The sequence below is a fragment of the Homo sapiens genome, chromosome 7 (assembly GCF_000001405.40).
Source record: "Homo sapiens chromosome 7, GRCh38.p14 Primary Assembly".
Taxonomy (NCBI): Eukaryota; Metazoa; Chordata; class Mammalia; order Primates; family Hominidae; genus Homo; species Homo sapiens.
Window position 1 is genome coordinate 91,967,772 of NC_000007.14, and position 17,690 is coordinate 91,985,461.

The 17,690-nt window shown below is 38.0% G+C and overlaps 1 protein-coding gene across 2 annotated transcripts in view; it reads left to right on the plus strand.

Annotated features, from left to right (window-relative positions):
• The window catches only part of AKAP9 (A-kinase anchoring protein 9), a 169,812-nt gene that overhangs the window by 26,910 nt on the left and 125,212 nt on the right, over window positions 1-17,690 (plus strand). For both annotated transcript variants that reach the window (NM_005751.5, NM_147185.3), the window contains exons 2-3: window positions 5,940-6,197; window positions 12,518-12,562. In NM_005751.5, coding sequence (NP_005742.4) covers window positions 5,940-6,197; window positions 12,518-12,562 — 303 coding nt within the window. The remainder of the gene's footprint in view (window positions 1-5,939; window positions 6,198-12,517; window positions 12,563-17,690) is intronic.

Sequence of the window (17,690 nt, forward strand, 5' to 3'; positions counted from 1 at the left end):
TGTCCTTGTCTGGTTTTGGTATCAGGCTAATGTTGGTTTCATAGAATGAGTTTGGAAGTACTCCCTTCTCTTAAGTTTTTTGAAGAGTTTGAGTATAATTGTTATTCTTTAAATGTTTGGTAGAATTCAGAAGTGAAGCCATCAAGTCCTGGGCTTTTCTTTGATGGGGGATTTTTTGTGTCTGTGTGTGATTGGGTCTCCTGTTGCCTAGGCTGGAGTGCAGTGGTGTGTTCATAGATCACTGCAACCTCTGCCTCCTGGGCTCAAGCCGTCTTCCCATGTCAGCCTCCCAAGTAGCTGGGACCACAGGCATGTGCCACCATGCCTGGCTAATTTTTTGTATTTTGGTAGAGACGAGGTTTTGCCATGTTGCCCAGGCTGGTCTCAAACTCCTGAGCTCAAGCTCAAGCAATCCACTTGCTTCGGCCTCTGAAAGTGCTGAGATTACAGGTGTGAGCCACCGCTCCCAGCTTGATGAGAGACTTTTTATTAAGGCTTTGATTTCATTGTTGGTTTGTTGAGGTTTTCTATTTCTTCATGGTTCAATTTTGGTAGGTTCTATGTGTCCAGGAATTTATTTATCTTTTTCTTCTAGGTTTTTGAATTTGTTAGCATATAGTTGTTCATAATAGTCTGTAATGATTTTTGTATTTCTGTGGTCTCAGTTTTTACATCTTCTTTTTCATTTCTGATTTTATTTGACCTTTCTCCTTTTATGAAAATTAGTATAGCTAAAGGTTTGTTGATTTTGTTTATGTTTTCAGAAAAGCAACTTTTTGTTTCATTGACTTCTGTATTGACTGTTTTGGCCTCAATTTCATTTGTATCTGCTCTGATTTTTGTTATTTCCTTTCTTCTACTAATTTTGGGTTTGGTTTGTTCTTGGTTTTCTAGTTTCTTGCAGTGCGTTGTTTGGTTGTTTATTTGAAGTCTTTCTCATATTGTTTTATTGGTATAAACTTCCCTCTCAGTACTGCTTTTGCTTTATCACATAGATTTTGGTATGTTGTATTTCCATTTTCATTTCTTTCAAGAAATTTAAAATTTTCTCTTTTAATTTCATCATTGACCCATTTGTCCTTCAGGATTATGTTGGTTTTTTGTTTGTTTTGTTTTTTGAGACAGGGCCTTTCTCTGTTGCCCAGGCTGGAGTGCAGTGGTGTGAACATGGTTCATTGTAGCCTCTACCTCCTGGGCTCAAGCGATCCTCCTGCCTCAGCCTCTCAAGTAGCTGGCACCACAGGCGTGGGACACCATGCCTAGCCAATGTTTTGAAATTTTGTAGGTTTGAGACCAACCTGGGCAACAAAGTGAAATCTTGTTGCCCAGGTTGGTTTTGAACTTCTGGGCTCAAGCATTCATCCCACCTCAGCCACTCAAAGTGCTGGGATTACAGACATGAGCCACCATGCCCAGCAGGAACATACTTAATTATTATTTGTTTGTGTTTTCTGAGGTACTTCTTGTGACTGATTTTTAGTTTTATTCCATTATGGTCAGAAACGATACTTGATATGATTTCTACCTTTTGAATTTGTTGAGACTTGTTTTATGACCTAATATATGGTCTATTCTGGAGAATGCTCCATATACTGATGAAAACAATACTCTTCAGGAGTTGGGTGAAATGTTCTGTAGATGTCAGTTTGGCCTATTTGGCGTAGTGTATAGTTTAATTCTGATGTTTTCTTTAATTTTCTCTTTGGATGATCTGTCCAATACTGGGATTGGGGTATTTAAGTTCCCTATATTACTGTATTGCAGTCTATCTCTCCCTTTAGATCTATTAATACTTGCTTTTTATACTTGGGGCTCTGGTGCTGGGTGCATAGATATTTATAATAGTTATATCCGCTTGCTAAATTGACACCTTTATCATTATATAATGACCTTCTTTGTCTCTTTTTATAGTCTTGACTGGTAGCCTATTTTATCTGATACAAGTATAGCTACTCCTGTTCTTTTTTGGTGTCCAGTTGCACGGAATATCCTTTTCCACCCCTTCACTTTCAGTCTGTGCGCATTCTTAATAGGCGAAGTGGGTTTTTTGTGGGCAGCTTATGGTTGGGTCTTACTTCTGTATTCATTCAGCCACTCTCGCCATTTTAATTGAAGAATTGAGTGTATTTACCTTGAGTATTATTATTAATAAGTGAGGTCTTACTAATGCTATTTTGTTGCTTGTTTTCTGGTTGTTTTGTAATTCCTCTCTTCTTCCTTTCTTACTGTCTTTCTTTGAAGTTAAGTGATTTTTTTTTCTGGTAGTATGTTTGAATTTGTTGATTTTTTATTTGTAGTGAATTTATTATAGTTTTTGGCATTGTGGTCACCATGAGACTTAAAAAGACATAGGTTCAAGCAGTTATTTTAATGATATGACAACTTACTTTAGATCACAAAGAAAATAATGGAAACAAAAGAAAAAAAAACCCTCTATACTCTAACTCCATTCCCTCCACATTTTGACTTTACTTTGTCTCAATTTACATGTTTTTATATTGCCTATTTCTTGATAGGATGCTGTAGCTATTAATGTTTTTGGTAGGTTTGTCTTTTGGACTTCATCCTAGAGTTATGAGTGGGCGCTACACCACAATTACAGTATTAGAGTATTGTGGGTTTGTCCACGTACTTAATTTTACTAGTGGGTTGTATACCTTTACATGTTTTGTTTTTTCACATTAGTGTTTTTTTCTTTCAGATTGAAGAACTCTCTTTAGCTTTTCTTGTCAGACAGGTATGTGTTAGTGAATTCTCTCAGCTTTTGTTTGTCTGTGAAAGACTTTGTTCCTCTTCTTTGTATTTGAAGGATAGCTTTGCTGGATACAGTATCCTTGGGTGGCTGTTTTTTTCCTTCAGCACTTTGAACATGTTGTCCCACATCCTCCTATATGGTTTCTTCCTCCTGTATGACCTGTATGGTATCTGTTGAGAAGTCTGTTGCCAGACGAATTGTAGCTCTTTTATACATTGTTTGCTTCTTTTCTTTTGCCACTTTTAGGATCCTCTCTTTGTCCTTGACCATTGAGAGTTTGATTATTACATGCTTTGGAGTAATCTTTTTTGGGTCAAATCTGCTTTGTTCTCTAACGTTCCTATACCTGGATATTTTATCTCTTTCTCAAGTTTTAAAAAGTTTTTATTATTTCTTGAATAAGATTTCTACCCCCTTGCATTAAAGTTAGGCATTATATTATGTAGTGCTGAAAAACAGGCGGTGACATGGTACCAAAAAAAAGATACAAAAACAATACATAAATTGCAAAGACTCTCTAAGTGAACACATTCAGTAAAAAACAAGCCAGACAGTGAAGACTAGAACTCCCTTTTGAACACTGATAATTCTTAGATTTGATATTTCGAGGTAATTTTCTGTGTCTTCTAGGTGATCTTTGTTCCTTTTCATTCTTTCCTTTTCTCCTCTGTATTTTTAAATAGCCCGTCTTTGAGCTCACTGATTCTTTTTTCTGTTTGATCCATTCTCCTGTTGAGAGCCTCTAATGATTCTTTCTGTTCAGCAAATCTTTCTCAGTTCCAAAATTTCTTTTTGATTTATAAAAAACTTTTAATCTTTGTTAAATTTTTCTAATACATTTCTGAATTGTTTTTCTGTGTAATGGAGATCACTAATTTCCTTTAAACTGCTGTTTTGAATTCTTGTTCACAGAGTTCACATATTTCTGTCTTGTTAGGGTCATTCACTGATTCACTGGTTCTTTGTGCTTTGTCCATTTGACTAAGTCAAGGTTTCCCATTTGCTGTTGTTTCTTGTGGATATACATCTATTTCTTTTTTTTTTTTTTTTTTTTTTTTTGAGACGGAGTCTCGCTCTGTTGCCCAGGCTGGAGTGCAGTGGCGCGATTTCAGCTCACTGCAAGCTCTGCCTCCCGGGTTCACGCCATTCTCCTGCCTCAGCCTCCCGAATAGCTGGGATTACAGGCGCCTGCCACCACTGCCGGGCTAATTTTTTTGTATTTTTAGTAGAGACAGGGTTTCACTGTGTCAGCCAGGATGGTCTCGATCTCCTGACCTCGTGATCCTCCCGCCTCGGCTTCCCAAAGTGCTGGGATTACAGGTGTGAGCCACCGTGCCCGGCCTACATCTATTTCTTAAAGTGAAGATTTTGTTATTTATTCTAGTCTTCTCTGTCTGGCTTGTTTTAGCTTTTACTGGATATGTTTGCTCATAGAGTCTTTTATGTTTTGCCTCTCTTTTTTTTTTTTTTTTTTTTGCACTATGTCACTGCCTCTGTTTCAGTACTACATAATATAATGTATATGATGTCTTTAGCCCCAGTTTGCTTCAGTTCTAGTAAACAATCAGTGTTATCCATCCTTGATCGGTAAGGTCCCAAAGGCCCCTAGTCTGGCTAGGGGCTCGTGCCCAGAGGACCTGTGGCATGAACCTCTTACAGTGTGATGCTGCTGAACAGCCAGTCTGATTTGGCGTCTCCTTTGGCCAAGTTACAAAGCAGGGTTTTTCAGGGCTAGGAATGGTAGTCTTGCCTTCCCGCTTTGTCTCTGGCTGTTAGGAATATTTCTCCCTTCAGATATTCCCAGTACTTCCTGGTTGTCCCTGGTTGAGCCAGGGACAGATCTCCTGTCAAGGAGCCCAAGTTGATGGAGAAGCTGGTTGTCCACCTTGATCTCACTTTTTCCAGTGTAGAAACTGTGAGTCAGGGGAATATTTTCCATGTTTGGTGATGGGCAGATTAGGAGAATGGGAATCATGAAAATCAAAGTCTAATTCTTTTAACTTCTGCTCAGAGTTTTTTCACTTCTCCATGGTCTTGAATACTGTTTCTTCCTCATATTTGAGTTCTGGGATATCGCCAGTAATAATCTAAGCTCTGTATATTTGCTTTTGGTTTTCTGTTAGGGGAAGCGAAGGCAACTTGCTTCTGTGCCACCATTTTGGAGCTATTAGGTTGGTGCAAAAGCAATTGCAGTTTTTGTACCGACCTAATGGAAGCCTCTGTTCTTAAAATAAATTTAAATAAGAAAACTACATTGGTTAAAACATGTTAAGTAAATGATACATAAAGGTGGCTCTAGGATAGGACAAAAATCCTGATGATGATATGTAAACGATTAAGGGCTGGAAAGCACTGCTGTTTGATATTTAAGTTATTTCCAGTTTTTTTTCCCATTATGAATAAGGCTGCAGTGACCACTTTATATAGCTAAATCTTTTTGCATGAACTAAATCTTTTTAGTATATAGTAATAGAAGACACAGAAATTCCAGAAAGCAAATTCATGTAGTGCTCTGTGTGTGCATGTGTGTATGTGTGTGTTTTCATATAATCTAAAATCCAGAGCTTGGCCAGCACACTGGCTCACGTCTGTAATCCCAGTATTTTGGGGAGGCTGAGGCAGGCGAATTGCTTGAGCCCAGGAGTTGAAGACCAGCCTGGGCAACGTGGCAAAAATCTGTCTGTACAAAAAAATACAAGAATTAAATTAGCCAGGTGTGATGACATGTTCCTGTAGTCCCAGCTACTTGGGGGCTGAAGTGGGAGGATCTGTGGAGCCCAGAAAGTTGAGGTGAGCTGTGATGGCGCTACTGCACTCCAGCCTGGATGACAGAGTAAGACCCTGTCTCAAAAAATAAAATAAAATCTTGGTGAGATTATATTCTCACTAAGCAGTGAATGACAGTGCCTGATTTCCCTTATTCTGCCTAATTCTGGGCTTATTTTCTTTTATTTAGACATGACATTTTCAGTTCTTACCCCTCAATATTTCAGTAGGTTTATTCAGAAATGTTTCTTTGCATTCCAGTAGTTACATTAAAGACTGTAATAATTGTTCTTTATTTTTTCATTTTTATTTAGTGATAGTTTGATCTTTAAAAGAGAGACTCCCAAAGCTGCTTTTTTCTTGGTGGCAATAAAGAAAAATTATCTTTGACAATAACGGTTATTTTCTTTTTTCTTAGCTTGCCCAGTTTCGACAAAGAAAAGCTCAGTCGGATGGGCAGAGTCCTTCCAAGAAGCAGAAAAAAAAGAGAAAAACGTCAAGCAGTAAACATGATGTGTCAGCACACCATGATTTGAATATTGATCAATCACAGTGTAATGAAATGTACATAAATAGTTCTCAGAGAGTAGAATCAACTGTGATTCCTGAATCTACAATAATGAGAACTCTACATAGTGGAGAAATAACCAGTCATGAGCAGGGCTTCTCTGTGGAAGTAAGTATTCTCCCAGATTTTTAATCATTATGGTTCTCGATGGAAAGTAGTCATAACAACAGTCATTAGCAACTGTGCGCAATTTGATCATGATTTTTATGTCCTCTTGAAAGTTTTAGTAGTATGGTAACTAAACAGTCATAACTAAAATATTTGATCATCTCAGAGAGGGAGTTTTGTGAGTTTAATTTAATATATGTTGAACAACTGCAGTACACCAAAGACTGAGCACCAGAGTTACAAAGATGGATATGACTATCTCTGCCCTTTAGGAAAATTATTCTAGTGGAGAAGGCAGACTTAAAGGTATGCAGTGTGCTATGATTAGACCTTTGCTAGTATGAGAGATAGATGTCCAACTTCATTTTTTTTGTTTGTGGCTATCCAGTTGTACCAATACCATTTGTTGAAAAGACTATTCTTTTCCCAATGAACTGTCAATGAATATAAAGGTGAGGGTTTATATTTATCCCCTCAATTATATTCTGTAGATCTGTATGTTTAGCCTTTGCTACTATGCCCCCAAGTCTTGATTAATGTAGCTTTATAACAACTTTTGAAATCAGTAAGTGTGAGTCTTCCAACTTTCTTCTCTTTTGGGATTGTTTTGGCTGTTGCCTTGCATTTCCGTATCAATTTTAGGGTCAGGTTTTTCTGTTTCTGCATTAAAAACACCACGGATTTTGACAGGGATTGCATTGAATCTGTAGATGAATTTGGGGAGTTTTGTCATCTTAACAATATTAAGTTTTCAACCTATGAACACAGGATTTTTTATTTATTTAGGTTTTTAATTTTTTTAATGTTACCTTGTTTTCAGTGTAAACGTCTCACATTTGTTTTGTTAAATATACTCTCAAGCATTTTATTTTTATTTTAATTTTCATTTATTTACTTTTTGAGATGGGTTCTCACTCTGTCACCGAGACTGGAGTGCAGTGGCATGATCTTGGCTCACTGCAACCTCTGTCACCCAGGCCCAAGCCATCCTCCCACCTCAGCCTCCTGAGTAGCTGGGACCACAGGTGCATGCTACCACACCTGGTTAATGTTTTGTATTTTTGGTAGAGATGGGATTTTGCCATGTTGCCCAGGCTGGTCTCAAACTCCTGAGCTCAGGAGATCCACCCACCTTGGCCTCCCAAAGTCCTGGGAGTACAGGCATGAGCCACCGTGCTTGGCCTTGTTTTTGTTATTTTATTTTATTTTAGTTTTTTGTAGAAATGTGGTCTCACTTTGTGTCCAGGCTGGTCTCGAATTCCAAGACTTAAGTGATCCTCCCGCTCTGGCTCCCAAAGTGCTTATGCCTGTAAAGTTTTATTTACAGGCATGAACCACTATGCCTGGCCACCAAGCATTTTATTGCTATTTTATTTCTAAGCATTTTACTGCTATTCTAAATATAATTGTATTCTTAACTTTATTTTCTGATTATTCATTATCCATGTATACAAATACAACTAAATTTGTATATTGATCTTGTCTCCTGTACCCTTGCAGAGCTAACTCATCTGTAAGTTCTAATAGGTTTTTTGTTTTGTTTTGTTTTGTTTTGGTGAATTCCTTCGATTTTTCCTGTATGCAAGACCATATTATCTGCAACTAAACTAGAAATGTTCAACTTCTTCCTTTCCAATGTCGATGTTCTTTTTTCTTTTTTGTAATTGCCATAGCTGGAAGATATAAGACAATGTTGAAAAGAAGTGTTGAAAGCAGACATCCTTGTATTATTTCTCCTAATAAGGGGAAAGCATTCAGGTTTTTTTTTAACCATTGAGTTTTATATTAGCTGTTTTTGTTTTGTTTTGTTTTGTTTTTGTAGCTATCCTTTATCAGATTGAGGAGGTTCCCTTTTATTCCTGGTTCATTAAGTGTTTTCATTATAAAGAAATGTTGAGGTTTTTTTGTTTTGTTTTTATTTTTTAGTTTATTGGTTTGTTTTTTGTTTGTTTGTTTGTTTTTTTTTTTTTTGAGACAAAGTCTCGCTTTGACTTTGCACTCCACTGCTGGAGTGCAGTGGGGTGATCTCAGCTCACTGCAGTCTCCACCTCCCAGGTTCGAGTGATTCTCCTGCCTCAGCCTCCTGAGTAGTTGGGATTGTGAGCCATCACGCCCAACTAATTTTTGTATTTTTAGTAGAGATGGGGTTTCACCATGTTGGCCAGGGTGGTCTCGAACTCCTGACCCCAAGTGATACGTCCACCTCAGCCTCCCAAAGTGCTGGGACTACGGGCATTAGCCACTATGCCCATCCACTTATTTTATTGTTTTTTGAGACAGGATCTCACTCTCGTCCAGGATGGCATGCAGTGGTGCAATCATGGCTCACTGCAGCCTCAACCTCCCAGACTTCAGTGATCCTCCCACCTCAGCCCGACAAGTAGCTGGGACTACAGGCCCATGCCACCACACCTAGCTAATTTGTGTATTTTTTTGTAGAGACGGAGTTTTGCCATGTTGCCCAGGCTTGTCTTGAACTCCTGGATTCAAGTGATCTGCCTGCCTTAGCCTCCCAAAGTGCTAGGATTACAGGCATGAGCCACTCACTGCTCCCAACCTGAGTGTTGAGTTTTGTTAAATGCTTTTTTTGTGTCTATTTGCAATGACTTTAATACAAAAACCATCACTAGGGACAAAAGATGTTACAGCACACATTTTACATTATATAAATTCAGCCTTTTAAAATATTTTGGGTATTTAAATGGTCTAACATATAGTCATCTTTCTGTTCTTCAGAGTGGATAATTGCAATTCATCTATCTTGAAGTTTGCTGATTCTCTCTTCCTACTTAGATCTACTACTGAGTCCTTCTAGTGGCTTTTCATTTATTTTCCTTTTCAATTCCAGAATTTTTATTTGATTATTTTATAATTTCTTCGTTTTATTGATATTCTTCATTTGGTGAGGTGTTGTTCTTACAATTTAAATTTTGTTTTGTTTTGTTTTTAGATTTTATTTCCTTTAGTTATTTGACTGTATTTAAAATAGCTGAGTCAGAATCTTTGTTGGCCAGGCATGGTGGCTCATATCTGTAATCCCAGCACTTTGGGAGGCAGAGGCAAGGGGATTACTTGAGCCGAAGAGTTCGAGACCAGCCTGGGCAAAAAAGGGATATTCTGTCTTTACAAAAAGTAAAAAAAATTAGCCGGGCATGGTTGTGCACACCTGTGGTCCCAGCTACTCCAGAGGCTAAGGTGGGAGAATCGCTTGAGCCCAAGAGGTGGAGGCTGCAGCAAGCTGTGATCACACCAGTGCACTCCAGCCTGGGTGACAGAGTGAGATCCTGTCTCAAAAAACAACACAAGGGCCGGGCGCGGTGGCTCATGCCTGTAATCCCAGCACTTTGGGAGGCCAAGGCGGGCAGATCACGAGGTCAGGAGATCGAGACCATCCTGGCTAACACGGTGAAACCCTGTCTGTACTAAAAATACAAAAAATTAGCGGGGCATGGTGGTGGGCAACTGTAGTCCCAGCTACTCGGGAGGCTGAGGCAGGAGAATGGCATGAACCCAGGAGGCGGAGCTTGCAGTGAGCCGAGATCACGTCACTACACTCCAGCCTGGGCGACAGAGCGAGACTCCGTCTCAAAAAAAGAAAAAACCAAGACAAAACCAAAAATAACTTTGTCTGTTAAGTACAATATCTGTGTTCCTCAGGGACGGTTTCTATTGACCATTGTTTTTCTTGTGCATAGACTATCCTTTCCTTTTTTTGTACATCTTGTAATTTTTGTTTTATTAAAACTGGAATTTTAAAAATAATGCAGTGTGGCAACTCTACTGCTTGATTTGGCTCAAAGGTATATTATTTATTTTTTAATATAACAAACCAATATTTGGGTTCTCTATTCTATAGTTTTAGCATTTTGAATGCAACAACTGTCTTATTCACCATTTAATTCTCAGTACTACCGTTTCTAGTACACAATATGCACTTAATGAATATGAGGGATTGTATCATGAAAGTATTTCAGATTTAAAAGATAATCTCGGCTGGGTGCAGTGGCTCACGCCTGTAATCCCAGCATTTTGGGAGGCTGAGGTGGGCAGATCGCTAGAAGTTAGGAGTTCAAGACCAGCCTGGGCAACATGGTGAAACCTTGTCTCTACTAAAAATACAAAAATTAACTGGGCATGTTGGTGCGTGACTGTAATCCTAGCTACTCGGGAGGCTGAGGCAGGAGAATTGCTTGAACCTGGGAGGCGGAGGTTGCAGTGAGCCAAGATGATGCCGCTGCACTCCAGCCTGGGCAACAGAGTGAGACTCTGTCTCAAAAAAAAAAAAAAAAAAAAGAGAATCTTATGAGTTAGGAACCACTGTTAATAGGATTTTAGATTACAGGCAAGTTTATTTTTGTTCTTGGCCTCAGTTACTACTTCATGGAGAAGGTAGTTTTAGAACTTAGACTTGAATGTTGAATAGAATTTCCATAGGTGTAGATGAGAAAGGAGACAGTGACAGTTAATATTTGTTGAATGAAAGGGTGAAACTCTCTGGAGAGGGTCAACAGTGAGAATAGTACTTTTGGAGTCAGAAAATTTGGATTTGTTCCTTGACTCTTTCTACTACTTCTTTTAGGGAAGCTTGAAAAAGCTACTCACTTCATACCCAAATCCAGGCATGTGATAGTGAAACAAGAATGACTTTAAAAGTGCTTTTGTAAACTGTAAAGGTGTTATAACAAAAGTGGTTATTTTTTCTTTAGTTATTACTTTTTTTAGCATCATGATGATATGATTTTTCTTTCAGAGAAATTGAACTTTTCTTTTTTATTGATTTATTTTAATTATTATTATTATTTTTTAAAGACAGGGTCTCACTCTGTCACCCAGACCAGAGTGCAATGGCATGATCTTGGTTCACCACAAGCTCTCCCTTCCAGGCCCAAGCAGTTCTCCTGCCTCAGCCTCTCAGGTAGCTGGGATTACAGGCATGCACCACTACCGCCTGGCTAGTTTTTGTATTTTTTTTTTTTTTTTTTTTTTTTTAGTAAAGACGAGAGTTCACCATTTTGGCTAGGCAGGTCTCGAACTCCTGACCTTAAATGATCCACCCACCTCAGCCTCCCAAAGTGCTGGGATTACAGGCATGAGCCACCACACCTGGCCGAACTTTTCTAACAGTAGCATTTTAGGACTTTGTTTCATTTTAAAGAGGTACGGTAGTTCCTCCTTATTTGTGGAGAGTTGTATCATTCCATTTTCATGCTGCTGATACAGACATACCGGAGACTAGGTCATTTATAAAGAAAAAGAGGTTTAATGGACTCACAGTTCCACGTGGCTGGTGAGGCCTCACAATCATGGTGGAAGGCAGAAGGCACATCTTACATGGCAGCAGACATGAGAAAAATGAGAGCCAAGGGAAAAGGGAAACCCCTTATAAAACCATCATATCTCGTGAGACTTACTACCACAAGAACCGTATGGGGGAAACTGCTCTCATGATTTACTTATCTCCCACCAGGTCTCTCCCAAAACACATGGGAATTATGGGAGCTACAATTCAAGATGAGATTTGGATGGGGGAACTCAGCCAAACCATATCAAGAGTATAGTCCAACACCCCCAGTGGAGACCTGAAACCACAGATAGTACTGAACTCTGTATATACTGTGTTTTTTCCTATACTCATATACTTATGATAAAGTTTAATTGATAAATTAGGCACTGTACTCTTGTGCTTTGGGGCCATTACTTGAACACAAGCACTGCAATACTGCATACTGCCATAATGTATGATAGTGCATCTGATAATGGAGGTGGCTACCAAGTAACTGTTGGGCAGGTAGCATATACTGTGTGGATATGGTGTACAAAGGGACGATTCATGTCCTGGATGGGACAGAGTAAGATTTCATCATGCCACTTAGAACAGTGCACAATTTAAAACTTATGAATTGTTTATTTTTGGAATTTTCCATTTTAATATTTTCTAACCACAGTTAACCATGGGTAACTGAAATTATAGGAAGCAATACTGTGGATAAAGAGGGGGCTACTGTATGAGGATTGGAGGAATGGTGTCTTACTTCATGCTTTTGGCTTACAAATGATATGTATATAAGACCCTGTATGAAAGTACCTCTTGATACTTTTATATTTAGAAAAATGCCTACTGGTACATTTTGGTTGCATTATTTTGCCATTGTTATTTATAATTAAATGAAAATTTTAAAGATTTGAGTAATTTTTACTAGTTTTTTAGTGGTATTTTATGTGACTTTTCTATCATATGTTACCAATAGTAATGGTTTAGTAAAGTATGATATTTAGCACAAAAAAGTCATAATTATATTTGGTTTTTATTTTTGTTTTAGCTGGAAAGTGAAATTTCAACCACAGCAGATGACTGCAGTTCAGAGGTAAGACTAAATTATATTGATTTCTAATATCATAAATGTATATTTATATTATTATTGAAATCATTGATTGTTGCTACTTGATTTCTTGTCACTCATGCTTCTATTTTATTTTTATAAATATAATGTTAAGTGACTAGAACCTGAGGATTATGTATTACTGACTTTTTTTTTTTTTTTTTTTTTTTCAGATTATTAGCTAAGGTCTTAAGTCTGGTTAAATAGCTTGGTCTCTGTTTTAGTTTCTGGAAAGTATTTGATATTGGGTTTCTTAGACATGTGACTGTTACAAGGCATCCATATTTAGCACAGTAAAAATATCAAAAATTTTTTGAGACTTTGAATAGGATATTTCATTTTGAGTAATGCTTTTTTATAAATGCTTGAATTCTAGTTAATCATATGAACTTGTTTATTGAAATTAATGTTTCAATAGTAGTTTTTACTTTAGGTGATAAAGGTATTGTCCACTTTAGGAAATACCCTCTTTGTGTGTTGGTAAAAGTATATGTCATTTTGTTATCTTTTTCTTATTCTTTTAGATGTGATTGTCATTTCTTTACTCCAGAATTTGAGGAGACTATAAACTATTCTGTACTCTGAATGGTTTAGCAACTCAGTGTATTCAGTAAGTCTCAATTTATTGTAGGTTTCTAATAGGAAAAAAAAACTCCATGTTCTTAAATGAACGTATTACTGTTTTAGATTGCTAATAGCAATAAAAACTGCTACTTTAGAAGTTAATGTGCTTAAAAGTTGGAATATACTTACTAGTAATCTGGCCAGGAAAATAATTAGCCAACATTAAATAAACACATTGGTGCCTGATTTAGGCTAAAGTTGCCTCTATGGGAAGTATCTTGATTTAAAATCACTGCTTAAAATTCAGAGTCTGCTTTTGTGACATTAAATTTGGGGCGCATACAGTTGGCCCTCCATATCCCTGGGTTCTGCATTTGAGGGTATGACCAACCACAGATAGAAAATATTCTGAAAAAATAAAAAATAACAGTACAACAATAGAAAATATATAACATTTAAAAATATAGTATAACAACTAAGTATATAGTAATCTTAGAGATGATTTAAAGTATATGGGCAGATGTCCACAGGTTGTATACAAATACTATGCCATTAAGGGTCTTAGGCATCCGTGATTTTAGTATCCTTAGGGGAGTTCCTAAAGCTAATTCACTTGAAGACACCAAGGGATTATTGCATTTGAAAACTTTTTTTTTCTTTATAATGCTCTAATTTTTATATCTTGTATTTCTTTTTTTTTTTTTTTTTTTTCACCAAGATGGAGTCTCACTCTGTTGCCCAGACTGGAGTGCAGTGGTGCAGTGTTGGCTCACTGAAACCTCTGCCTCCTGGATCTAAGCAATTCTCTGCCTCAGCTTCCCAAGCTGGGACTACAGGCATGTGCCACCACACCCGGCTAATTTTTGTATTTTTAGTAGAGACGGGGTTTCACCATCTTGGCCAGGCTGGTCTTGAACTCCTGACCTCATGATCTACCCACCTCTGCCTCCCGAAGTGCTGGGATTACAGGTGTAAGCCACCGCACCTGGCTATAGCTTGTATTTCTTGACTGAAAGTCATAAATGCTTTGGTGCTTAAACTGCCTGTATCTCTGGGGGCACCCCAGAGTTCCACGAAGTGCATTTTTCTCTTTACACTAAAGTGAATATTTTTTAATATGCTAGTGGCTGTAGGTCAGACCCTCCCATATATGCCCATGAAATTTGGTTACAATTTGTATAGCTGTTTTCTCACATTGAGATAATAGAGCAAATTTTAATTTAATTTTTTTGTCATTCTAAGTATTTTACGTACGTATGTATGTATGTATGTATGTATGTATGTATGTATGTATGATACTTTAAGTTCTAGGGTACCTGTGCACAATGTGCAGGTTTGTTACATAGGTATACATGTTCCATGCTGGTTTGCTGCACCCATCAACTCGTCATTTACATTAGGTATATCTCCTAATGCTATCCCTCCCCCAGCGCCCCACCCCTCGACAGGCCCCCATGTGTGATGTTCCCTGCCCTGTGTCCAAGTGTTCTCAATGTTCAATTCCCACCTATGAGTGAGAACTTGCAGTGTTTGGTTTTCTGTCATTGTGATAGTTTGCTCAGAATGATGGTTTCCAGCTTCATCCATGTCCCTGCAGAGGACATGAACTCATCCTTTTTTATGGCTGCATAGTATTCCATGATATGTATGTGCCACATTTTCTTTATCCAGTCTATCATTGATGGACATTTGGGTTGGTTCCAAGTCTTTGCTGTTGTGAATAGTGCCACGATAAACATACGTGTGCATATGTCTTTATAGTAGCATGATTTATAATACTTTGGGTATATACCCAGTAATGGGATCGCTGGGTCAGATGGTATTTCTAGTTCTAGATCCTTGAGGAATTGTCACACTGTCTTCCACAATGGTTGAACTAATTTACACTCCCAACAGTGTAAAAGCATTCCTATTTCTCCACATCCTCTCCAGCATCTGTTGTCTCCTGACTTTTTAATGATTGCCATTCTAACTGGTATGAGATGGTATCTCATTGTGGTTTTGATTTGCATTTCTCTGATGACCAGTGTTGATCATTTTTTCATGTGTCTGTTGGCTTCATAAATGTCTGCTTTTGAGAAGTGTCTGTTCATATCCTTTGCCTGTTTTTTGATGGGGTTGTTTGCTTTTTTTTTCTTTCTTTTATTATTATTATTATACTTTAAGTTCTAGGGTACATGTGCACAACATGCAGGTTTGCTACGTAGGTATACATGTGCCATGTTGGTTTGCTGCACCCATTAACTCGTCATTTCATTTGGTATACCTCCTAATGCTATCCCTCCTCCTGCCCGCCACCCCACGACAGGCCCCCATGTGTGATGTTCCCTGCCCTGTGTCCAAGTGTTCTCACTGTTCAGTTCCCACCTATGAGTGAGAACATGTGGTGTTTGGTTTTCTATCCTTGTGATAGTTTGCTCAGAATGATGGTTTCCAGCTTCATCCATGTCCCTGCAAAGGACATGAACTCATCCTTTTCTATGGCTGCATAGTATTCCATGGTGTATATGTGCCACATTTTGTTAATCCAGTCTATCATTGATGGACATTTGGGTTGGTTCCAAGTTTTTGCTATTGTGAATAGTGCCGCAATAAACATAGGTGTGCATGTGTCTTTATAGTAGCATGATTTATAATCCTTTGGGTATATACCCAGTAATGGGATCACTGGGTCAAATGGTATTTCTAGTTCTAGATCCTTGAGGAATTGCTTCTAAAATATCTACTAAAAATAACAAAAATTATCTGAACATGGTGGCGCAAGTATTTTTGTATTTTTGTTAGAGATAGGGTTTCACCAACTGTCTTCCACAATGGTTGAACTAGTTTACACTCCCACAAACAGTGTAAAACCGTTCTTATTTCTCCACATCCTCTCCAGCATCTGTTGTTTCCTGACTTTTAAATGATCGCCATTCTAACTTTTGTGAGATAGTATCTCATTGTGGTTTTCATTTGCATTTCTCTGATGACCAGTGATGATGAGCATTTTTTCATGTGTCTGTTGGCTGCATGAATGTCTTCTTTTGAGAAGTGTCTGTTCATATCATTTGCTCACTTTTTGTTGGGGTTTTTTTCTTGTAAATTTGTTTAAGTTCTTTATAGATTCTGGATATTAGCCCTTTGTCAGATAAGTAGATTGCAAAAATTTTCTCCCATTCTGTAGGTTGCCTTTTCACTCTGATGGTAGTTTCTTTTGCTGTGCAGAAGCTCTTTAGTTTAATTACATCCCATTTGTCTATTTTGGCTTTTGTTGCTATTGCTTTTGGTGTTTTAGTCATGAAGTCCTTGCCCATGCCTGACCTAAAGGTTATTGCCTAGGTTTTCTTCTAGGGTTTTTATGGTTTTATGTCTAACATTTAAGTCTTCAATCCATCTTGAATTAATTTTTGTATAAGGTGTAAGGAAGGAGTCCAGTTTCAGTTTTCTGCATATGGCTAGCCAGTTTTCCCAGCGCCATGTATTAAATAGGGAATCCTTTCGCCATTTCTTGTTTTTGTCAGGTTTGTCAAAGATCAAATGGTTGGAGATGTGTAGTGTTATTTCTGAGGCCTGTGTTCTGTTCCATTGGTCTATATCTCTGTTTTGGTACCAGTATCATGCTGTTTTGGTTACTGTAGCCTTGTTGTATAGTTTGAAGTCAGGTAGTGTGATGCCCCCAGCTTTGTTCCTTTTGCTTAGGATTGTCTTGGCAATGTGGGCTCTTTTTTGGTTCCATATGAACTTTAAAGTCGTTTTTTTCCAGTTCTGTGAAGAAAGTCATTGATAGCTTGATGGGGATGGCATTCGATCTATAAATTACCTTGGGCAGTGTGGCCATTTTCACAATATTGATTATTCCTATCCATGAGCATGGAATGCTTTTCCATTTGTTTGTGTCCTTTTTTATTTCGTTGAGCAGTGGTTTGTAGTTCTCCTTGAAGAGGTCCTTCACATCCCTTGTAAGTTGGATTCCTAGGTATTTTATTCTCTTTGTAGGAATTGTGAATGGGAATTCACTCATAATTTGGCTCTCTGTTTGTCTGTTAATGGTGTATAGGAATGCTTGTGATTTTTGCACATTGATTTTGTATCCTGAGACTTTGCTTAAGGAGATTTTGGGCTGAGACAATGGGTTTTCTAAATATACAATCATGTCATCTGCAAACAGGGACGATTTGACTTCCTCTTTTCCTAATTGAATACCCTTTATTTCTTTCTCTTGTCTGATTGCCCTGGCCAGAACTTCCAAGACTATGTTGAATAGGAGTGGTGACAGAGGGCATCCTTGTCTTGTGTCAGTTTTCAAAGGGAATGCTTCCAGTTTTTGCCCATTCAGTATGATATTGGCTGTGGGTTTGTCATAAATAGCTCTTATTATTTTGAGATACCTCCCATCAATACCTAGTTTATTGAGAGTTTTTAGCATGAAAGGCTGTGGAATTTTGTTAAAGGCCTTTTCTGCATCTATTGAGATAATCATGTGGTTTTTGTCTTTGGTTCTGTTTATGTGATGGATTATGTTTATTGATTTGTGTGTTTTGAACCAGCCTTGCAGCCTAGTGATGAA